The 21,552-nt window shown below is 43.0% G+C and overlaps 1 protein-coding gene across 4 annotated transcripts in view, besides 8 other annotated features; it reads right to left on the bottom strand.

Moving 5' to 3' along the window:
- The window catches only part of PIP4K2A (phosphatidylinositol-5-phosphate 4-kinase type 2 alpha), a 179,725-nt gene extending 175,620 nt beyond the window's left edge, over window positions 1-4,105 (bottom strand). For 2 of the 4 annotated variants that reach the window (XM_006717450.3, NM_005028.5), the window contains exon 1: window positions 3,710-4,105. In XM_006717450.3, the coding sequence (XP_006717513.1) occupies window positions 3,710-3,853 (144 nt within the window). In that variant the 5' untranslated portion in view covers window positions 3,854-4,105. Of the gene's footprint in view, window positions 1-2,576; window positions 2,720-3,462; window positions 3,636-3,709 lie in introns of those variants that run through there. The other 2 variants (NM_001330062.2, XM_017016330.2) reach the window with 2 other exon arrangements.
- Window positions 2,841-2,950: a silencer, noted in NCBI's record as "silent region_2212". NCBI's record gives its function as "represses an Ori minimal core promoter by ATAC-STARR-seq in GM12878 lymphoblastoid cells {active_cell/tissue: GM12878}" and the evidence as "EXISTENCE:reporter gene assay evidence [ECO:0000049][PMID:35858748]".
- Window positions 3,251-3,370: a silencer, noted in NCBI's record as "silent region_2213". NCBI's record gives its function as "represses an Ori minimal core promoter by ATAC-STARR-seq in GM12878 lymphoblastoid cells {active_cell/tissue: GM12878}" and the evidence as "EXISTENCE:reporter gene assay evidence [ECO:0000049][PMID:35858748]".
- Window positions 3,541-3,620: a silencer, noted in NCBI's record as "silent region_2214". NCBI's record gives its function as "represses an Ori minimal core promoter by ATAC-STARR-seq in GM12878 lymphoblastoid cells {active_cell/tissue: GM12878}" and the evidence as "EXISTENCE:reporter gene assay evidence [ECO:0000049][PMID:35858748]".
- Window positions 3,751-4,359: an enhancer, noted in NCBI's record as "H3K27ac-H3K4me1 hESC enhancer chr10:23003153-23003761 (GRCh37/hg19 assembly coordinates)". NCBI's record gives its function as "activates a minimal SCP1, AML or CMV promoter by ChIP-STARR-seq in naive H9 embryonic stem cells {active_cell/tissue: H9 hESC(naive)}" and the evidence as "EXISTENCE:reporter gene assay evidence [ECO:0000049][PMID:30033119]".
- Window positions 3,751-4,967: a biological region, named in NCBI's record as "hESC enhancers GRCh37_chr10:23003153-23003761 and GRCh37_chr10:23003762-23004369".
- Window positions 3,921-4,590: a silencer, noted in NCBI's record as "silent region_2215". NCBI's record gives its function as "represses an Ori minimal core promoter by ATAC-STARR-seq in GM12878 lymphoblastoid cells {active_cell/tissue: GM12878}" and the evidence as "EXISTENCE:reporter gene assay evidence [ECO:0000049][PMID:35858748]".
- Window positions 4,360-4,967: an enhancer, noted in NCBI's record as "H3K4me1 hESC enhancer chr10:23003762-23004369 (GRCh37/hg19 assembly coordinates)". NCBI's record gives its function as "activates a minimal SCP1, AML or CMV promoter by ChIP-STARR-seq in naive and primed H9 embryonic stem cells {active_cell/tissue: H9 hESC(naive and primed)}" and the evidence as "EXISTENCE:reporter gene assay evidence [ECO:0000049][PMID:30033119]".
- Window positions 12,798-12,907: an enhancer, noted in NCBI's record as "active region_3148". NCBI's record gives its function as "activates an Ori minimal core promoter by ATAC-STARR-seq in GM12878 lymphoblastoid cells {active_cell/tissue: GM12878}" and the evidence as "EXISTENCE:reporter gene assay evidence [ECO:0000049][PMID:35858748]".

Consider the following 21,552-nt stretch of genomic DNA (forward strand, 5'->3'; position numbering starts at 1 on the left):
GAGACAGGAAACCCTTTTGGGGGAGCAGAAATGACAAAATGTGAAATACAGGAACCGTTCATTCCCTGCTCTGTGGAGGAACCAGCCAGCTATGAAGGAGAACTGAGCCAAAGGGTACAGAAAAGTCCCACGCACTCACACACCCACACACTCAAGCACCCAGCTCTTCACATGGTTCCATTACCAGCCTTTCCTTCTACTGTGATAGGCCCCCCAAACCCCTCAATACCTGACATTTTTGCCAAAGCTCATTTCAACTTCTACAGCTTTAAACCAAAAGCCTCTAACATCAATACTTAGCTACTTCTAAATGCTACATGTTTTAAACAAGTTTTATGTGCTTTAAGATTTTTCTATACAGATAATGTTTTCCTTTGGATATTTAAATAGGTTTTAAAATACTAATTTCTAAAAGGCTCACATTTCACTGTGGATAAAAATCTTTTAGAGTATCTATTTAAAACAAGTCTTGGCTCATATCATTCAACATCCTCCCCACACTATTAAAATATCATCTTAAGACGCTTACTGTTTGATCATTTTTAGTTTAATTCTAAATGTAACAAGACAAAACTGCCTTAAGTCTTTTCCTTTATGTATTCAGTTATATTCTCTGCTTAAAATACTTAAAAATTGGCACTGATCCATTCACTGATGGGTATTTTAAGTTACAAAGCAGTAACATATCAAATTAACCACACAATGGCAGGCTTACTCCCGACTATGACCATTGCCCAAATCAAGATTTTCATTACCACCTCAATGGACTTGAACATTTTCACCTTAATTGCAAGTTGTTATGTTTCAATCAAATCGACTTTGGCTTAATAGACTGCAATGCAGTTCAGCTACATTCAATATAACAAACCCTTAGTTCACAGTCTCTTAAAATCACCATAGATTTCCTTCCCCTGTAGTCAAGGTCTTGAAAATTCCCTGAATGTTGCTGCATTTGGAAGGTTATAATAGTAAGACAACTTTTATATAGTATTCTACAAATCCTAGTATAACACTGTGCACCTAGTAGACTGAAAAAACAGAATCTTGAGTTAGACTTGGAAATCATCCAAACAACCTCAGTTCACAGATGCAAACACTGATGCCAAAACCTGACCTTAACATGCCCAAGGTCAACAGTTAGAATTTAAGAAAAACTTAAAGCGCAGATTCAATGAGCGTTTTACCACAGTATGTGGAAGATGCTCGTATACAACACCATGCTTGTTTGTTCTTAAGACTGCTGACATATTTATTCTCACATTATACTATAAACTTTGGTGCACAGAAGGTCATATAAAACATTTATCTAATATCAGACATTGTCACCTAAAATGAAATCAAACCAGAAATACATGGCATCTAAGGGTTTTAGATTTCATGTTTATATTACACCTCCATTCTTTTTTCAAAAATAATATAGTAAAGAAAATAGACATTTTGAAAAAAAAGGCTGTGAAACAGACCTTTCTTATGTCAACTCAGAGCCCTCAAAATAAAGACAGTTGGATAAAAATATTAGAGGTGTTTTAGCAATTCTTCCCACAGTAGCTGGCACTGTATGTGCCCAATATATATCTGTTGAATGAGTAACATGCTTACATTTATATGAAATGGAAACTTCACTCCTCTGGTTGTGGATACTTAGAACTGCCAACTTCTCTTGAGAGCAAAAGAAAATAACACCAAATGTACTATTTACAAGTCATACACTATGAAACACTTAAGTAGTTTCAAAATATTTCCAATTAGCAAGAAACTCTAAAACAAATGTAGCAATTCATAAATATAAGGTAGCAACGTAAGTGGTTACAGTAAAACATACACAATTACAAGATTTTTTAAGGCAAACTGGAATTCAGACGAGTTCCCAGAAAGCACACTCTTTTTCGGCAGCATATTGTTGACACTACCTTACTAAATTAAACCCCGAGACAGAAACACTCTCCTGACCAAAACACCAGAACTCCAAAGGAGATAAAAGCACCATAAATATGAGTAAGCACTACAGTATTCATCCTTTTTTTAAATTGTAAGTTTCTATTCTAGTAATAAGGGACCCAAAAACTACTAACATAAATAATAAAAGAGCTTAACAAAATTATACATAACTCTACATTGTAAACTTATTACTTAGGAAAAATTGCATTTCATTTTCCGTAATAAAACTTGAGAGAGGAGTTTTTGGTGCAGTAATGCATGCTCTTGTAACAACTTACATTCCCAAATAGCTAAAGAAGTTGCCAGGAAGTTAAAATGAACTTCAGTGAGTCAGTCATTAAGCTGGATAAAAATAATCATTTCTCAACTTTTCCAAAAACACTCACTCCATGCAAACACGATCGATCCTGATACTGTTTTGCCCTTCCCCCTGCTCAGCTTGGGGAAGAAAAATACAAAAACGATGCTTTTAGGCATTTTAAACAACTTCACTACATTGAGGGTGTGTGTGTGTGTGTGTGTGTGTGTGTCTGTGTGTGTGTTTTCCGAAAAACCAGCATGGTTTTCTGTCATTTCCATTACGCTGAAAAGGACATACAGACATCCATCGAAATCAAAAGCAGGGAAAGCGAACTTACACTTTTCCCCAGATGCTAAGTGACTGCAGTGGCTAAGGTCATGGTCAAAATTCACAGCTCGTTTAAACTTTCCTGGCTGAGCCAACAGCTCCGATCATGTTTCCTGATCCTATCGAAGTGGATTAAAACTGCAGGAGTTTCTCGCTGTCAGATCAGCAGGAGGCTATTTCAGACCCTCGAACCGCAGTCCGCATAGCCCGCAGCGGCGCATCCTCCAATCCCCGACTGTGCGTGACGCTAACCTTTCCACGCGTTCTCCAGCCTTTCCCACACCCCCCACAGCGGGTGCGGCCAACTCGGGACCCCCTCCGCCCGCGCCCGCCGGGACCCCCGCCTGCTGTCCCCGCCCCGGCCGCCCTTCCGCAGTCGGTGACTTCTGCCTGACTCCCCAAAGTGGGGGGAGGCGACGAAGGGAGGAAGACTCCCCGCCAAGGGCTCTCCAGCCCGCACAGCGGCAGGGCGATGCGGGAGAAGCGCAGGGATGCCGCCCGACGCCAGAGCCATATTTACATCGGCTGCTGCTTTGCCAAAAAGCCGACTTGTGCCCAGTAATATTGCCTTTAAAGGAAAAAGAAAGGACCTAAGCACTAAAGCTGCTGCCCCAAATCTGCTCGCGCTCCGGTATCCTCGCCCCAGTGCCCCAGTGGGAGGCTCGCACGCGCCCAGCCCGGGACAGGTACACCTGCCCGCAAGCGGAAGACGCGGGCGCCGCGCGGCCCCCACACCGGGTAGCGGTCGCCCGGACCCGGCCCCCAGCAGCTCCCGCCGGGGCTGACAGCCGAGGCGCCGTGCCCCGCACAAACTTCCTACCTCCCAGGCTGCGGGGACCGACCTGCGGGCGGGCGGGCGGACCGGGGGCGGCACTGGCACCCACCGTGAGACTCACATGCACACGGGACCCCCGACCCGCACCGGGCCATAGATCTAAAGGGGACGCAAGTGGTGGTGCCTGGGCGGCCCAGAGGGCTGGGGGCACGCGCCGCGGGGCTGGGGGCTTCGAGGCGGGCGAGCAGCCGGAGGTCCAGGGCTGACTCCGGCTCCCCGCCCCGCAGCAGCTGCAGCCGGAGGAGGAGGGGAACGAGGAGGAAGAGGAGGAGGAGGAAGGGGACCGCGCGCCGCAGCTGAGCCCTTACCGAGTGGTTTACCCCCCACATGAGGACGCTGAGCAGCGGGTCGCTGGCCCGAAACAGCTTCACTTTCTGCGCTACGAAGTGCTTCTTCTTGGTCTTGGTCTTGCTCGCCAGGACAGAGGACCCTAGGTTGCCGGGGGTCGCCATGGCCGCCTCCTATGTCCCCTCCACCGCCGTGCTCCCGAGGCCGGGGACCCGCCCTCTCTACACCCCGGCCCGGGGAGGCAGCCGCATCCCCCCGGCGGCGGCCCCGGCGCGCCGCGCTCCGCTCCGCCCGCCGCCGCCGGCGCGCTCAGCCCCACTCGGCTCGCTCCGCCCGCTCGGCCCGGCAGACTGCGCTCGGCTCGCGCCCCGGCCCGTATCCTGCGCCCGCCGCGGATCCGCGCTCAGCCCGCGGCTGGACCCGGCGCGCGGCGAGCGGCTTCCGCGTTGGGCGCCGGCGTCATGACGCAGGGGGCGGGCGGGCAGGCGGGAGGCGGCTGCGGCGCCGCGGGCGGGGCACTGGGTGCGGGGCGCGGGGCGCGGCAGCTGGACCGTTAGGCTGCGCCTTCCCGCCCCGGCTCCGCTGCAGCCGGGCCGCCCCCTGTGCGCGGGCGACCTCCGGGCGTTCGCTCCCTGCCCGCGGAGGAGGCCGTGGGTTGCGAGCGGGAGCCTGGGGACCCCGGCTAGGCGTCCCCTGCCGCTCCCCAAGGAGGGAGAGGACAGAGTGGGCAGAGTGAGGAGGTTGGGGAGAGGAGCCCCCAGGCGTCGATCAGGCGAAGGAGGGAGGCTCATGCACTCACCCACGCCACGAGTCAGGAGACCCAGCCAGGTGTGAAATGCTGCAGGGAGACCAGGGCTTCCCAGCACCGAGGGGAAGGACCCGGGCACATTGCCGGGTCAGTCCCTGAAATGAACTTAATACTTTTGTGCGGATAACCGTCTGGCCTTTCAGACCCTCGATATGGGCCTCCTGGAGCCATTCAAGAGGGAGACTCCCACGTAATAGGCTGGGCTGTCACTGCCAACCCACTCCGTGCCCGGGGCAGGAACCTCGGACCTCATCGAGAGCCCTTGGCTTAACCAGTAGAATCATGCCCCAAAGTGCACCTTCTTCCAATCCATCACTATGGTACTTGCCATCCCTGCCTGTTTTCCAGTGCACTCACCGTCCGTGGAAATCTGTTCACCGTCTTCCTCCAGATACACCTAAATGTAGCCCTTATTATGCTGAGAATACTTGGCCTACCTCAGGAAGCTGCCATTCCAAGTATGTCTAAAACCCTGCTGCCCCCATATCGTCCTTGCAGTCGTCATCCTGTGCTATTTACTCTGACCCAGCTCACCAGTCCTCACGGAGTAGGTTCTTGGAAACTGTCACCTTAAGCAAAACAACATATAACAAAACCAAATTTGCCATAGGCTGACATATAAAAAAAGAGTTAAGTTCCTACAGCATTATTTCCGGTTACAAAAACATCACCGAACTTCAAAGTAAAAATTCAAAACACTTCTAATATTAAACATTAAAATAAATGTGAGCTATACCTCTTTTTTATTTTTATTTTTTCCCTTGAGATAGGGTCTCGCTGTGTCAACCAGGCTGGGGGTGCAGTGGTGCAATCACAGCTCACTGCAGGCTCTACTTCCCCAGACTCAGGTGATTCTCCCACTTCAGACTCCCCAGTAGTTGAGACTACAGGCGCGCACCACCAAGCCTGGATAAACTTCTTGTATTTTTGGTAGAGATGGGGTTTCACCATGCTGCCCAGGTTGGTCTCGAACTCCTGGGCTTAAGGAATCTGCCCACCTTGGCCTCCTAAAGTGCTGGGAATACAGGCACCAGCCACTGCACCTGGCCTACCTACATTTTTTAAAGATTGATAAAAACAAGATAATGGTTTGCCAAATTTCTAGTGATTAAGTGAGCGATGGTTGCTGTGGTGCTGGGTTAAGTCAAGGAATAAGTGTTTGCAAAGCAAAAGTTGCCTGTAGGACCTGCTGCTACCATGAAATTCAAAAACAATCACAAATATGGTAGCTGAGTGCACTCCTATCTCATTTATTGTCGTGCATTTTTATGATTAATGTACACTTACATATTTTTATTTTACAGTCATTTGTTTCACGGATTTATTCATTTTTCCAACTCATTTATTCCAGTTCAAGGTCACAGATAGTGGGAGCCTTATCCCAGCTGCTCAGCTTGGGCAAAAGGTGGGAACCATCCCTGGATAGGATGCCATTCTGTTGCAAGACACACACACACACACACACACACACACACACACCACACACACACACACACACCCCTACACTCACTTAAACTGGGACCATTTAGGAAGGGGGCAGTGATTCATGCCTGTAGTCCCAGCACTTTGGGAGGCATGAGGCAGGTGGACTGCTTGAGCCCAGGAGTTGGAGACCAGCCTGAGCAATATGGTGAAACCCCATCTCTACCATAAATACAAAAATTAACCAGGCATGGTGGTACACACCTGTAGTCTCAGCTATTCTGGAGGCTGCAGTAGGCGGATTGCTTGAGCCCAGGAGTTGGAGGCTGCAGTGAGCTGTGATAATGCCACTACACTCTAGCTTGGGTAATAGATGGAGACCCCGTCTCTTAAAACAAAAAAAAAAAAAGAAAAGAAAAACTACTGGTATCATGTAGACAAGCCTATGAACTGAACGTGCATGTCTTTAAGATGTGAGAGGAAACCAAGGTACCCAAAGAAAACTCTTGCAGGCACGAGGAGAACCTGCAAATACAAACAGTGGTCCCGGCTAGAAATCCATTTTTTTCTCATCAACATTATAACAAAACAACATTGAACAAAATGACAGTATTTGAGGACCCGCTGTAAGTTGTCTGTTGTCATTATTACTCCACTCAAATATAGTAGATACCTTCTGTGCCCTTGGCAGACTGCTTGGTCCTGTCAGGGAGATGAAGGATGACAGGCCATTATCCCTTTAGGATCTTGAGTCTCCTCAGGGGTTGAGGGGAGGTCATGTGGTCACCTTCATTTGCTCCTATTCTTTCTTTGACTGTTTTTTAAGTCCCCTCGTCGTAATTTCCTGCTTGCTTTCATCCAAAATGATATCTGCTTCTCCAGCATCAACCATCACTGCTCTTAGTGGTTTAAAAAAGCCCAAAACCTAAATTTTTAGTGAGACATCACGGGGACTGAGCTGTAGCTCTCCCACTTACTTGAGCAAATCACTTAACCTCTCCCAGCCTCGGGTTCTTTATGTTAACAGTAACTATCATCAGACACAAATGTCACTTTAGGAACTATTTTGAACCTAGTAATATAATCCTCCCCTACCTACATTATAGGATGTTTGTTAGAATCAAAATCAATAGTAGATAATGGCAATGAAAACCCTTTGTAAACCAGACAACACAATAGAAAATGTAGAGTGCTTGCAAGTAACTCATAAACTCTTCCCCGACCCCAGAGAAATGCCTGGTTGCACATTTGTACATCATTTTTCCACAGGCATCTTTTAAAAGTGTCTAAAACCATCTGGGCATGCTGGCTGATGCCTGTAATCCCAGCACTTTTGGGACGCCAAGATGGGAGAATCACTTGAGCCCAGGAGTTCAAGGGTAGCCTGGATATAATAGCGAGATCTCATTTCTACCAAAAAAAAAAAAAAAAATTTAAATTAGCTGCACATGGTGGTATGCATCCTGTGGTCTCAGTTACTTGGGAGGCTGAGGCAGGAGGATCACTGAGGCTGCAGTGAGCTATGACTGCACCACTGCACTCCAGCCTGGGCAACAGAGCAAGACCCTATCTCAAAAAAAAAAAAAAAGATATCTAAAGCCAAGTTTGACATCTTTCCCCATCCACAAGTTACTTTATTTCTTGTATTATATTGGAAATGGCATTCATATCACTCGGTTACCCCAGCTGGAAGTTCTTTTATTTAACAAATTTTCATTGGCCAGGCTTGAAGGCTTACCATCATCATCAATTATTGCCTTTCACCACCACCCAACCTAAACTCCTTTATTGGATCCTGCCCTTGAAAACAATTAGACTCAAAAATCCTCTCTTCCCTGATGCTTTCCTGATCCTCCTAATTCAAATTCATCCTTCCACCTCAGTGCTTCCATAGCATTTATTTGTTTCATAATAGCTATATTATACTTAATTTTATATTAATAATGCAAGACAATAGGCTTGCTGCAACTGCCAAAAAACTGAATTTAGTGATGACAGAGTGCTGAATGACCCTAGAGGAAGAGGGGATGGATACCTGTTGTTAGGAGAGGCTCCGCCTTAGGAAAGCAGCAATCTGTGGGTGGGTGCAGAGGCCAATAGCACCATGTGAGGGACAGATAGGGGCATAGTGTGGTATTTTTAGGTAGTTATGAGGAGACTTGCAGGTTTCAAAGGACAGAATTTCTGGTGATTTAACATGTTTTGAAAGCCATCTAACACAATACCATTCACAAATACATCATTAAATTATTTATTTATTTATTTTATTATTTATTTTTTTTGAGACAGGGTCTCACTCTGACACCCAGGCTGGAGTGCAGTGGCAAGAACACAGCTCACTGCAGCCTTGAACTCCTGACCTCAAGCCATCTCCTGCCTTATTAAATGATTTTGCCAATAACCTTTCACATTAGCTTTGTGCTCTGTGGAGGGTATGTGTGATGCAAGAGTTCTAGAGTCACAGAAATGACCTTAGCTCACGCCTGTCATCCCAGAGCTTTGGCAGGCCAAGGCAGGAGGATCGCTTGAGCCCAGGAGTTTGAGGTTACAGTGAGCTCTGATTGTGCCACTGCACTCCAGCCTGGGCAACAGAGTGAGACCGTCTCTAAAAATAAGAAAGAAAAGGAAAGAAGAACAAAGTGACCTCAAAATGTGTAATCCAATTCTCAAATTGTATGCATTCGATAGACAATTGATATCTAGAGAAATGTAATAAGTAATTTCTTGGGCAATAAGAAACTTTGAAGGCAAGGACCATGGTGTACCCACTTCTAGGGCGTCTCAGTGAACCCTGAATACTCCCTTTCCCATAGCACCCGTGGTGAAATTTTGGTGAATAAAGAAAAAAGGAATATTTTATCTCTCATAACAAAGTTACATGTAAAGTTTGCGTAGCCAGAAAATGTTTTGTGCAAGGTTCCATTCAGAAATACTTTGTTAGGAAATTAGGCTAGACATAATATTTAAACTCGAGGGCTAGATACTACATGCGGACTTAGCCACCTAGCAATTTGATCGCTGTTTTCCTTTGGGGTTTGCATGCTAATGAGACAAAGTGTATGTCCTGCTTGTTCTTGGTTCAGCCCACCTGGTTCAAGCTGCTTACCTTGTCAAGCTGCCAAACCATCAACATTCGCCAAAGGTCTGGAAGAGAGGCATAGATCTTCCTTCTCTAGGAGGAAGATCAAGGGAGTGTGACTTCAAGAAGAGCATGTGGTTGTGTCAGTCAAGAAGAATGCCATGCCCTCCTCAACAGCCACATCCTTTTGCATTTGGCCTGGTGGGATGTTACACATCCAGATGGCAAAGCCATCACAAATGGAAGAAAGGCTCCAGCAGCCAAGTTCACTAAGAAGAAAGAAGGACATGTCAAGAAGATTTAAAACGTTCCCAATACTGACTTGGTTTTATTTATTTATTTATTTATTTATTTATTTATTTATTTATTTCTGAGATAGGGTCTCACTCTGTGCCCCAGGCTGGAGTGCAGTGGCATAATCATGGCTCATGGCAACCTCAACCTCCTGGGCTCAAGTGATCCTCTTGCCTCCCACCTCCCTAATAGCTGGGACTACAGGTGCACACCACCATGCCCAGCTAATTTTTGTATTTTTTTGTAGAGACAAGGTCTCACTGTGTTGCCCAGGCTGGTCTGGAACTCTTGGCCTCAAGTGATCCCCGTCCTTCGCCTCCCGAAGTGATGGGATTATAGGCGTGAACCACTGTGCCCAGCCCCCAATACTGACTTGTTTATGCTTCTTGTTGTTGTGGTTTTGTTTTTGCTTACATTTACTATAATCAACTTTATTTAGTATCTTTATTTAGTATAAATAACTTTATTTAGTATAAAACTACATGGTGTAAATATTATGTTGCCTAAGGTATACAAGACCAGAAGTAGAGGTCGAATAGGGTAGATGCTCTGATTTTTTATATTACCCTTTTTAATAAAAAAATACTATCAATCGAATAATTCCAATTCTTCCTTGAGAAAAGGGAAGTGGTAGCTTTTTTGACTTAGTGCTATTTGGAAGCTTTGTGCTTTTCCTTGCTTTATGAAAAGATCAGAGCAAGATGTGAGACAATTCCATTCATCCTTCTACAATGTCACCTTGAGCTTTGCCATGCAAAATTATTATGTTGGAAGACCATTCTTAAAGTGCATAAGCTGTCAAATCTAGCCAAAAGGCAATAAGTAAGCTACAAATGCAATAAATGGGCTCTAAAAATTCAACTGTGACAAGTGAGTTACTTTTGGGGGGATAAGCTATTGACATGATGCAGCACAGCTTGCTTTCTGGGAGTTCCAGGGGTCTGGCTAAACTTCCTGGACTGGCTGTGGTTTGGTGCCAGCCAGTTGGGGTTTTCCACTCCAATTTAAATATCGATGGTGATTCTTCTGGCTTCTGTAGCTGGCTGGGACTTCCTGGACAGTGGCAGCCATTCCAGGAATCTACCAGTTAGTTGACTCCTGTCTGGTTAGCCTGACTTGGGGAGATTGGACTGGGAGAAGATGGAGTAAAAAGCAGGTAATGCGCAGACTAACCATTCCCCAGACCACCCCACCTTCTCCACTCCCCAAGCAGCAACATGAGAACTTGAGCTAGCCTCCCCCGCTGGAAGACAGGAAGCTGTGTGAAGGACATTATATCTTGATCATATATATCTTTATATATATATGAAAGTTTTCTTTATTATAGAAATGGAAATTTCAACATTGGGAGATCACATGGCAGGATATAATGCATCCAATAAACATGATATTTTCACAGAAAATGTAATGACATAAAATAATCATGATATTAATATAAGTGAAAAAATAGGATACATATCATATATATGCTATGGTTTTAATAGCACAAAGCTTTTTTTAAAAAGCACAAAGCTTCCAAATAGCACTAACACCTATAATCTCTGCACTTTAGGGGGCCATGGTGGAAGGCTCTCTTGAGGCCAGGAGTTCAAGACCAGCCTGGGCAACACAGCAAGGCCCTATCTTTACAAAATAAAAATTAAAAATTTTTAAAAAGTAAAAAGTGTATTATAAAATGTGTGTGCATGTAAAACACTGAAAGAAAACAGAGCATACTTTTGACAGTGCTATATCAGGGGTGCAGTTAGGATTATGGATGATTTTTAAAATATATTTCTGCATTTTCCAAATGTTATAAGATGCATACGTGTTACTTTTATAATTTTTTTAATGCAACTATCTTTCCTAGTTAAATAAGTAACACAGTAATGTCATTTAACATACTAACCCAATTCCAATAAGAGACCAGCATTTTCACTTGCTCCTTGCTATTTATAATAGTCGTTGTATGATTTAGGCAATGGCGAACTAAGCCTGTGGTGAACATTTTCCTATATGTAGGAAAAAGGGAACCTCCTGTGTTCGCAAAGAGTCCTTATGCAAGTTTACAAATTGTTTACCCATTGGGCATCATCTTCCCAATGCATACAGCCTATGCGTTTTTCGGGGACCTAGAAAAAATTTGAGATGTGAAAACAAAAATTTTGATTACAAAAGAAAACTGCAAAAGTGATATCAATAATAACATTTGACTAAATGTTGCCATTTATTAAATTTAAATTTAGTATTTAAAAAGTCATTACGTATATAAAGAATTTGTGAGTTAGCTTTTCTTATGTTACAAGTATGCATAATGATTGATAAAAAAGATAGTAAATAGTCAATCAAAAATTAAATGTTTGGCTGGACGTGGTGATTCATGCCTGTAATCCCAGCACTTTAAGAGGTTGAGGTGGTAGGATTGCTTGAGCCTAGGAGTTAGAGACCAGCCTGGGCAACATAGGGAGACCCTGCCTCTATAAAAAATAAAACATTATCCAGTCATAGTGGTGTGTGCCTGTGGTCCCAGCTACTCGAGGGACTGAGGTGGGAAGATCACTTGAGCCTGGGAGATTGAGGCTGCAGTGAACTGTGATCAGTGGCACTCTAGTCTGGGTGGATTGAGATTCTGAATCTCCAAAAAAAAAAAAAAAAAAAAGGCATAGCTAAACATTTTTAGAGCAAAATTATAAAAATCTTTTCTAATTTATTTTACAGCAAAAACGTTGAATTAAATGTGGACTGTGAATGCATTTTCATATGTTTGATACGCTGAAGGGTTGGAGCCTCCAAAAATAAGGATGCCCAGCCCTTAGGAGAGTTTTTTAAATGGCTGCCGGGAGGAAAGATTCTATTCTTTGTAGATCAACAAGGTCCAGACAAATTGGTGTGACCTTCAGACCTGAAGCCAACACTGAATGCCAAGACCAGAGGAATTAGAAGATTTTACACTTGATCTTAGCCAAAAGGCCAAGAAGCAAAGGAATCAGAAGATTTTAGCTTGAGCCTTTTGCCCTGGGCAAGGGAAAAGTCCAGAAGCAGGAAGCAAGGAGAAAATTCAAACTAGCTTCCCTGCCTAGAGCAGTGCATAGTGGAAGATCTCAGCCACACCTTCATTTGTGCCTTTTTTTTTTTTAGCTCACTGCAGCCTTGAACTCTTGGGCTCAAGCAATCCTCTTGTTTCAGCCTACCAAAGCGTTGGGGCTCCAGGCGTGAGCCACCGTACCTGGCCTTATTTGTGCTTTCCGCATTCCTGCAATCAAGGGGCACTCTTAATTTACATGCCTACTGCTCTTAATGGGAAGGTACCTAGAGGGAAATCTCACCTAAGGTCTGCTTTCATGGAGTTTTTAAATTCTAAAATATAGTATACACTGTACTGATGCTACACTGAAGATAACCTAGAGAAATAATTGATGTGCATATTTGAAAAGCATCTAAAAAAATATGACTTGAGATCAGCGTAAGAAAAGGATCACAGTCTTCTTCATGCTGCTGTGTCCAGTGGTCAGGGATGGGGCAGTTCCCAGGGTCTCCACTGCCCTCGAGAACCAAATGGAAGACACAGAACAACAGCTTTGAGAGTTAGCCAGGGACTGCCTTGCTTTCCCGGTAGCGCTGAGGGTATGAGTTGGTGAACCCTGTGTGGTTCCTGTTCATTAACCCAGGAGGAAGAATTGAGGTAGGTGAGAGGAACAAGAGGTCCCAGAGAGATTCCTGGTGCTACCCAGGCTGTTTCCACTTCCTCCTCACCACTCTCAGTTCCTGAAATTTGCGGTTGTAGCCTTCAGAAGCAGCCCCAGAACAATCACTCAGGAGGCCCCCACTGCAAAGGCATTCCTAGATCCATCTGTCACCCATACCTGTGCTCCCAAACTTGGGGAGCCTATCCAGTTTTACCTCAGTTACACAGAAGTCTGCAAACCCACGGAACCCTCTCCTGTCACGTGTGCAAACATCATGAAATTCTAACCCATGAGTTTTCTTTTTTTTTTCTTTTTTCTTTTTCTTTTTTTTTTTTTTGAGACAGAGTCTCGCTCTGTCGCCCTGGTTGGAGTGCAAAGGCGCAATCTCAGCTTACTGCACCCTCTGCCTCCTGGGTTCAAGCGATTCTCCTGCCTCAGCCTCCTGAGTTCTCTTAGTTTTGGATTTGAGTGCCTGATAGAAAGTTCTGGGTATTTTCAATTAGTAATCTGGTGCTCATCTTGTCACCCTCAGACATGGCCCTAGTCAGTTTCGAAAGTCTCATAAAATCTCAGAAGCGATGGAACTGGGCTTGAGGGTTTTTTAGACTCTGAAAAACAGCTTTTCAAAAAAACACCCTTCCATACTTTTAGCACTAGCTAACATTTGAGTGTTGCACTAAAAGGAAGTTACAGATGAAATCGTTGTTACATAAAATTCTAGGTCTGAATTTTAAAGATGGGGAGTCTTGATTATTCACAATATTCATGCCCCTGGTTTGTGCTTTCACCTTAACTATGGGATGGCTCCTCCTTAGAGAGTTGATGTCACAACTAACTTTCAATGAAGAGTCCTGTTTTTCCTTTACTAACTCAGGCTTTTTCCATTTTAGTTTTCAAATTCAAATTTTAAGTAGGTCATATTACTGGTATTTAAAAACTTGATAAACTAGAACTCAGGGACTAACTTGAAATCAGAGGTACGTTTATTACCATTTTTGCTCATTCATTCGTCACATATGTGTTGAGGTCCTAGAAGATTCTGAGCATAAAGGTGAGTAAGACACGTCCCTTGCCCTTGAGGGGTGCATAATTAAGTAGGGAGGATAAAGCTGCAAGCCAGCCATTTCCAATGCAATATGGTACCTTCTATAGCAAGACAATAGAGATAGGGCTGTAAATGCTTAGAGGGAGGAAGAAGCACACGATTAGCATGTGGTGTGGTGGCTCACATCTGTAATCTCAACACTTTGAAAGGTAGAGGTTGGAAGATCACTTATGGCCAAGAGTTGGAGACCAGCCTGGGCAACATAATGAGGCCCTGTCTCTACAAAAAAATTTAAAAATTAGCTGGGTGTGCTGGCGTGCACTTATAGTTCCAGCTACTAAGGAGGCTGAGGTGGGAGAATCACTCGAGCCAGGAGTTGGAGGCTGCAGTGAGCTGTTAGCTATGATCACGCCACTACCACTCCAGCCTGGATGACAGAGCAAGACCCTGTCTAAAAAAAAAAACAAAAAACAAACCCAAACAGCACAGAATGGCATCATAGACTAAAAAGGGAAAGTCCCTCCTCCCTCTCCTCCACTCCTGCTTTCCATTTCTTAGATCTTTTCACTTTCCCTCCAATCCCTTCCCCTCTGTTTATATCTGAGTGGGTCAGTTAATTTCTATGTATTTACACATATATGTACATGGACTAATATATGCTTACTTTTTTTTGTTTACTATTTTTTCCCCTGGGTTGTGATCCTCCCACCTCAGCCTCCTGAATAGCTGGTACGCACCACCACATCCGGCTATTTTTTATTTTTTATAGAGACAGCGTTTCGCTATGTTGCCCAGGCTGGTCTCCAACTCCTAGGCTCAAGGGATCCTCCCACTTCAGCCTCCCAAAGTGCTGGGATGGCAGGCTGAACCACCACCCCTCGCCATATGTTAGCTTTTTATGTAAACGGAAATATACTGTACATATTATTCTACAACTTGCTGCCTTTTTACTCAACACTGTGCCTTCGAGATCTTTCCATGTCAGAGTAACAGGGACAAATCTTAATTATCACAAATCTCATCCATACGAAATTATAATTTTCTTCATCCATCCTGTACTTCATTTTACCATTAGCTCAGTTGCTAGCTGAATAGCAGAGGACTTGATCAAGTCTCTTCTAGATAAACTTGGTCAAATTCTGAGTTTTCCTTAGCCCCTATTAGGGAAATACTTAATGAAAGTCAAGTCCCCTCCTGCTAGGAGCAACCTGGGATGGGGGTAGGAGGCTTATGTATTGTGGCTTTGGGATGGAGACTGTGGATGTGTTTTTGGTCTGTTGATCTCCTCAGATTCCCCCCAGGTAACCTCCATCACACCATGGTCTCTTCCACCGAGGCCCCTGTGCTCTGGAAACTTCTCAGCTTGACTCCAGTTCCCTGTGGGTCTACCCTTCCCTCTCAGCCACCTCTGCCTCCCTGAGAGATCACAGGGATTTTGGGCTGCCCTTGGCCCTTCCTCCTAGAACCTCAGTCAGCCAGTAACATTGCATGCTCTGGTCCTGCTCTGGTCCTGCTCTGGTTCTTCTCAGTGGACCTCAGCCTCCTGGGACAAACCTAGTAATCAAGGTCTAGGTCTGCTCTGATGTGGGACACCTCCCGGCCCACACCAGGGCTGATTCTGCCACTGTCCAACTCTCAGAAACTCTCCCAGCTGCACCCAGAGTGTTCCCTACCTCCCCTTCTAAAAGGCACCACTGACCATCCAAGTATTCATCACAATCTATCATTTAAGAATAAGCTTTATGCTCAAAAATCCTTTGGGTACTTGGCTTTTGGCCATACAGAAAGCTTTTGTTCTTTTTTATTTTTAAAAGGTCAGCTCTTGCAAGGAAAAACCTTGTCTTCCAAGACTATTATCTTCAATAGAAATAATAGTGGCACCTGCTAGAAATGGTGTTGTGAGGATTATGATTAATAGAAAGCATTTGCAATGGTGCCTGGCACATAGTAAGTGCTCAGTAAACGTTACCCTTTCTACTCATTCATTTAGCAAATGTTTATTGAGCATCTGCTATGTGCCAGACCCTGTTTTAAGGACTGGGATAGTGAATAAAACAGATTAAATTACCTGTCCTCATGGAGATTTCAAAGTAAAAAAATACGTAGCATGTTTGATGGGGAAAATAAGGAGAAACATAAAGTAAGGAAGGTGTTTAGATAGCATGACCAGCAAAAGTCTTGAGGAGGAGACATTTGGGTAATGGCCTGAAGTTGGAAGGGAGCAGGCCATCCAGGTACCTGTGGGAAGAATATTCCAGGCAAAGTACCTGCAAGTGCAGAGGTTCTGATGCAGAAAGCTTAAAAGGAGTCACTAAGAAAGAAAAACCATGGGTTGACTGTGTCTGGTGGCTCATACCTGTAATCCTAACATTTTGGGAGGGTGACGTGGGAAGACTGCTTGAGGCCAGGAGTTCAAGACCAGCCTGGGCAACATATCAAGACCCTGTCTCTAGAAAAAAATAAAATAATTAGCTGGGTATGGTGGCACACACCTGTAGCCTCAGCTACTCAAAAGGATCACCTGAGCCCAGGTAGTTGAGGCTGCAGGGAGCCGTGATGACCCCGTGCAGTGAGCCGTGATGGCACCACTGTAATCCAGCCTGGGTGACAGATCAAGAACCTTTCTCAAACAAAGCAAAACAAAAACCATGGGTTTATGTTGCAAAATATTACTTCATTACATTTTTATCTATAAAGGACATCATGTTTAAGCTTCATGATTTCATTGTCTAGGACATGTCAGCAAACTATTTCCTGAGGGCTAAATCCTGCCTGGTTTTGTAAGTAAAGTTTTACAGAAACACAGCCACGTTCATTCATTTACGTATTGTCTATAGCTGCTTTCACACCTCAGCAGCAGAGCTGGGTAGCTGAGATAGACCACATGATCTGCAAAGCCTAAAATAACTACTCTTTGGCTCTTTCTGCAAGAAAGAAAAATTGCCAGCTTCTAGTATACAGGTAATATTAGTTATTTAATCCCCTAATGTTCAACAAATCACATTAATATTCTTTTGGTTGCAAGGTTTAGAAATTTGTTTTAAACTAGTTTTTGTAAAATTGGGGAAATTGCTGGCTTATTGAAATGGAAGAGTCAGACATTCCTGGATCTAGAGACTGGACAATTGCTTTAAAGATCAACGTTCCCAGCTCTTGATCAGCCTCAGTGTGTGCATTGCTTTCATGTCACACACAAGTTTTCTTCACATCCCAGGGAAGACGGTCACTGAGAGTCCCTGGCTCCACCACTCTGCAAAGAAAGTTTCTCTGCAATGGTATCCGTCTGTCAGTTCTGCAGCAGTTCTGAGATTGGCCCTATTGGGATCAGGTGCCCACTCCTGGCCAGGGCCATTTCCCTGTGTTCAGGGAAATGAGATGCTGTGATTGGCCAGGGTTGGGTTCTGTGCTCACCACTGCACCCAGATGGAGGAAGGAGCTATTGGGATGAACAGTCCCACCATCTCATAATAAGATGGAAAGAGGTGGTTCTCCAAAGCAGGAAATGTTGAGCAGATTATAAAACAGCACGTGTAGTGTTTGCAGTTTTTCTCTATTAAAAATGAAGTTTCAGTGAACTGCTTTATATGTCTTTTTATGCAGATGCATTAGTAATTGTTATAGATAGGTACTGAAAGGCAGAACTGAGAGGCTATGGAAAATTGCTTTCCAAAAATGATTTACCAATTTACTTTCCAACCATGTATGAAAATGGTCATTTACTCACACCCTCACTAACCCTGGATATTATCAGCCTTTGAAAATGTTGCCAATCTAATAAGCAAAATAGAACCTTTGATTTTATTAGGACTGGGGCAAAGTACTTTTTTTTTTTCTTTTTGAAACGGAGTCTGGCTCTATTGCCCAGGCTGGAGTGCAGTGGCACGATCTCGGCTCACCACAACCTCCGCCTCCCGGGTTCAAGCGATTCTCCTGCCTCAGCCTCCCGAGTAGATGGGACAAGAGGACTGTGCCACCACACCCGGCTAATTTTTGTATTTTTAGTAGAGATGGGATTTCACTATGTTGGCCAGGCTGGTCTCGAACTCCTGACCTCGTGATCTGCCCACCTCAGCCTCCCAAAGTGCTGGGATTATGGGCGTGAGCCACCACCCCTGGCCGGCAAGGTATCTTTTTATGTCCACTGACTGTTGCAGGTCAGGTCCCGGCAAGCAGGCGGAGAGATGGAAATTAGGGTACAGGAAGTTATGAGGAAGTGCTCTCTTGATTAACACCCAAATTGGGAGGGAAGGAAGCAGGACTGGGCAGAGGAAGAAGTTGGGCTTCTATTTGGTCACAACTAAGGCCTCAGCTGTCCTCCTGGTGATCTTTGAAGCTAGAATGGTGCTTTCCAGTTGTCCAACTTAGAGCATGGTGATGATGCCAGCATAGCCCTGAGTCCCCAGTTATTGAATGAGGGCAGCCCTAGGACGCATGCCCTTGGGCAAGGTGAGTCCCTTCCACTGACGGCAACTCCCAGAGAGGATGGACACCCTCAGCAGCTGGGAGAATAAATCCTTCAGTACTGGAGCACAGCACAGCATGCGTTACATTGACTATATTTATTAATTTGTGAATTGCCTGTTTATAGTCTTTCTGTTTCCTTATTGATATGTAGTGGGGCTTTGTTCTGGATATTAATCCTTTGTATGTTATATATGTTGCAAAATATACTGCGTTGTATCTCAGTTTACTGCTGGCCTTTTTTGTTAAGGGGTCATTTATTTTAAAGATCTGTTACAATACGGTCAAAACTGTCCATCTCCCTTTTCCAAGATTATAAAAATATTGTTTTATTTGAATATTTCTATGCTTTTATCTTTTTTATGTGTAGCTCTTTAATTGCTCTGGAGTTAATTTTTGTTCCTGATATGAGGTAATATCACAGCACCATATATTTAATAGACTAGTCTCTAGAGACTGATGTAAAAGATCATACTTAAGATAATTTAAATTTTAATTTAGATGGAATATTTCTTGACTCTCCAATTCCAGCGATCTGATTTTGAGATGGAGTCTTGCTCTGTCGCTCAGGCTGGAGTGCAGTGTTGATCTCGGCTCACTGCAACCTCTGCCTCCTGGGTTCATGCGATTCTCCTGCCTCAGCCTCCAGAGTAGCTGGGATCACAGGCGTGTGCCACCACACCCAGCTAATTTTTTTTTGTATTTTTAGTAGAGATAGGGTTTCACTATGTTTGCCACACTGGTCTCAAACTCCTGACCTCAGGTGATCTGCCCACTTCGGCATCCCAGAGTGCTGGGATTACAGGCCTGAGCCACTGCGCCCAGCCTATTCTTTTTTTAATACCTCATGCAAAAATCAATGTATTTTTATATTTTGCTCTCTGGTTGGTCAAATTTCCCAAACAATTTTTTCAAATTTTTAAAATATACTTAGAAGCATGTTTCCGTTCTTATGAACATGAGAATGAACTTGTCTTATTGGGATTGCATTAGATTTACAGACTCAATTGAGATATTTCTACACTAAAACTTCTTATCTATGAACATCATACATTTGTCTATTTTTTTGAAGTTTTCTTTTATGACCTTCAGTAAAGCTTTATAGTTCTCTTCACATAGGTAATACACATTTATTGTTAAGTTTCAAGTATTTTGCTTCTCCCTCCCACTTTTGTCAATAGAATATGTCTTTTCTTTCAGTGAGGGAATATATTATGAATCTGCTGGGTTTCATTGCTAGCATTTTATTGTACCTATGTTCACCAGTGAGACTGGTTTATAGTGATATTCTTATCAATAACTCTTGCACAGTTTCGGTAACAGATAAGTTGGAAAACATTATATGTTTTTTCTCTTTGTGGAATTATTTAAATAACACATTAGTCATCTGTTCATTAAAGGTATAGCGTTTATTTCAGGGGTTTGGGGATGGTTATTTATTGGTTCAGTTTTCCATCTTCTTGAGTCAATTTTGATAAAATATTTTTCTAGAAAAGTAACCACTTTTTCATATTTTATTGATATAAATTTCTACATTGTATTCCCCTGTAAATTAATATCTTTTATACCTATTAATTGTGTTCTGTACTTGGGAATTTCTATTTAAATAGATCCCAGCTGTGAACAAAGATTGTTCTGTTCCTTCCTTCCTAATCATATGTCTTTTGTTTCCTTTTATTATTATTATTTTAATTGCACCAGCCACAACTTCCAGTATGATGTTGAATGGGAGTAATAAGAGGCGAACTCTTTGCTGTAAGTATAATGTTAGCTGTAGGTTTTTTGGTAAATGCTTTCTATGGGATTGAGGATGTTCCCCTCTATTCCTTGATTGTTGAGAGTTTTTGACATGAAAGGGTGTTGGACTTTGTCAAATGCTTTTGCTATATCAGTTGATACAATTGTACGGTTTTTTTCTTTAGCCTGGTGATGTGGTGGATTAGGTTAGCTGATTTTTGAATGCTGAACCATCCTCATATATCTGAAATAACTCACTTAGTCAGGGTGTATGATTCTTTTTATGCTTTGTTGAATTCAATTTTCTAACATATTTTTTGAGAATTTTGCAACCATATTAATGAGAGATGTTAGGCTATAAATTTTCTTTCTTGTGTTGTTTATGTGATTTTGATATTAGGATAGAGCTAGTCTCATAGAATGAGTTAAGAAGTATTCTCTCTTCTATTATCTGGGAAAGCTTGTAGAGAATTAGTATCATTTCTTCCTTAAATGCTGGGTGGAACTCACCAGTGAAACCATCTGAGTCTGTTGCTTTTTTTAATGCCAGGTTGTTAATTATTGATTAAATTCCTTTAATAGATATAGGCCTATTCAGATCATGTGAAGGTATTTATCTAATAAGTTTCCTTGTTCTGCAATCTGTTTTGTCTGAAATTAATATAGCTGCTCCAACATTTCTTTGCTTAATGTTAGCATGGAATATCCTTCTCCTTTGCTTTACTTTTAACCTATCCATGTCTTTCTGCCTTATCTGTGTTTCTCGAAGGCAGCATATAGTTGGGTATTTTTTTAAATTAACTCTGCAAATCTCTGTCTTTTTATTTATTTATTTTATTTTTTATTACTTATTTGTTAGTGTACAAAAACACAATTGATTTTTGTATGCTGATTTTTTTATCCTACAACTTTGCTGAATTTGCCTATTCCAACAAAATTTTGTGGAATCTTTAGCAGTTTCTATATATAAGATCATGTCATCTGCAAACAGAGATAATTATACTTCTTCCTTTCCAGTAGGGATGCTTTTTATACCTTTTTCTTGCCTAATTGCTCTGACTAGGATTTCCAATACTACGTTGAATAGAAGTACCCAGGTCTTGTTCCTGATCTTAGAAGAAAAGCTTTCAGCTTTTTATCATTGAATATGTTGTTAGCTATGGGCTTGATACATATTGCCTTTATGGTGTTGAGGTTCCTTCTTTCTACACCTAATTTGTTGAAAGATTTTTCTTTTTTATCATGAAATTATGTTGAATTTTGTCAAATGCTTTTTCTGCATCTATTGAGATGACAATATGATTTTTATTCTTCATTCTATTAATACGGTATATCACATTTCTTGATTTATG

Source organism: Homo sapiens, chromosome 10, assembly GCF_000001405.40.
Source record: "Homo sapiens chromosome 10, GRCh38.p14 Primary Assembly".
NCBI classification, from domain to species: domain Eukaryota; kingdom Metazoa; phylum Chordata; class Mammalia; order Primates; family Hominidae; genus Homo; species Homo sapiens.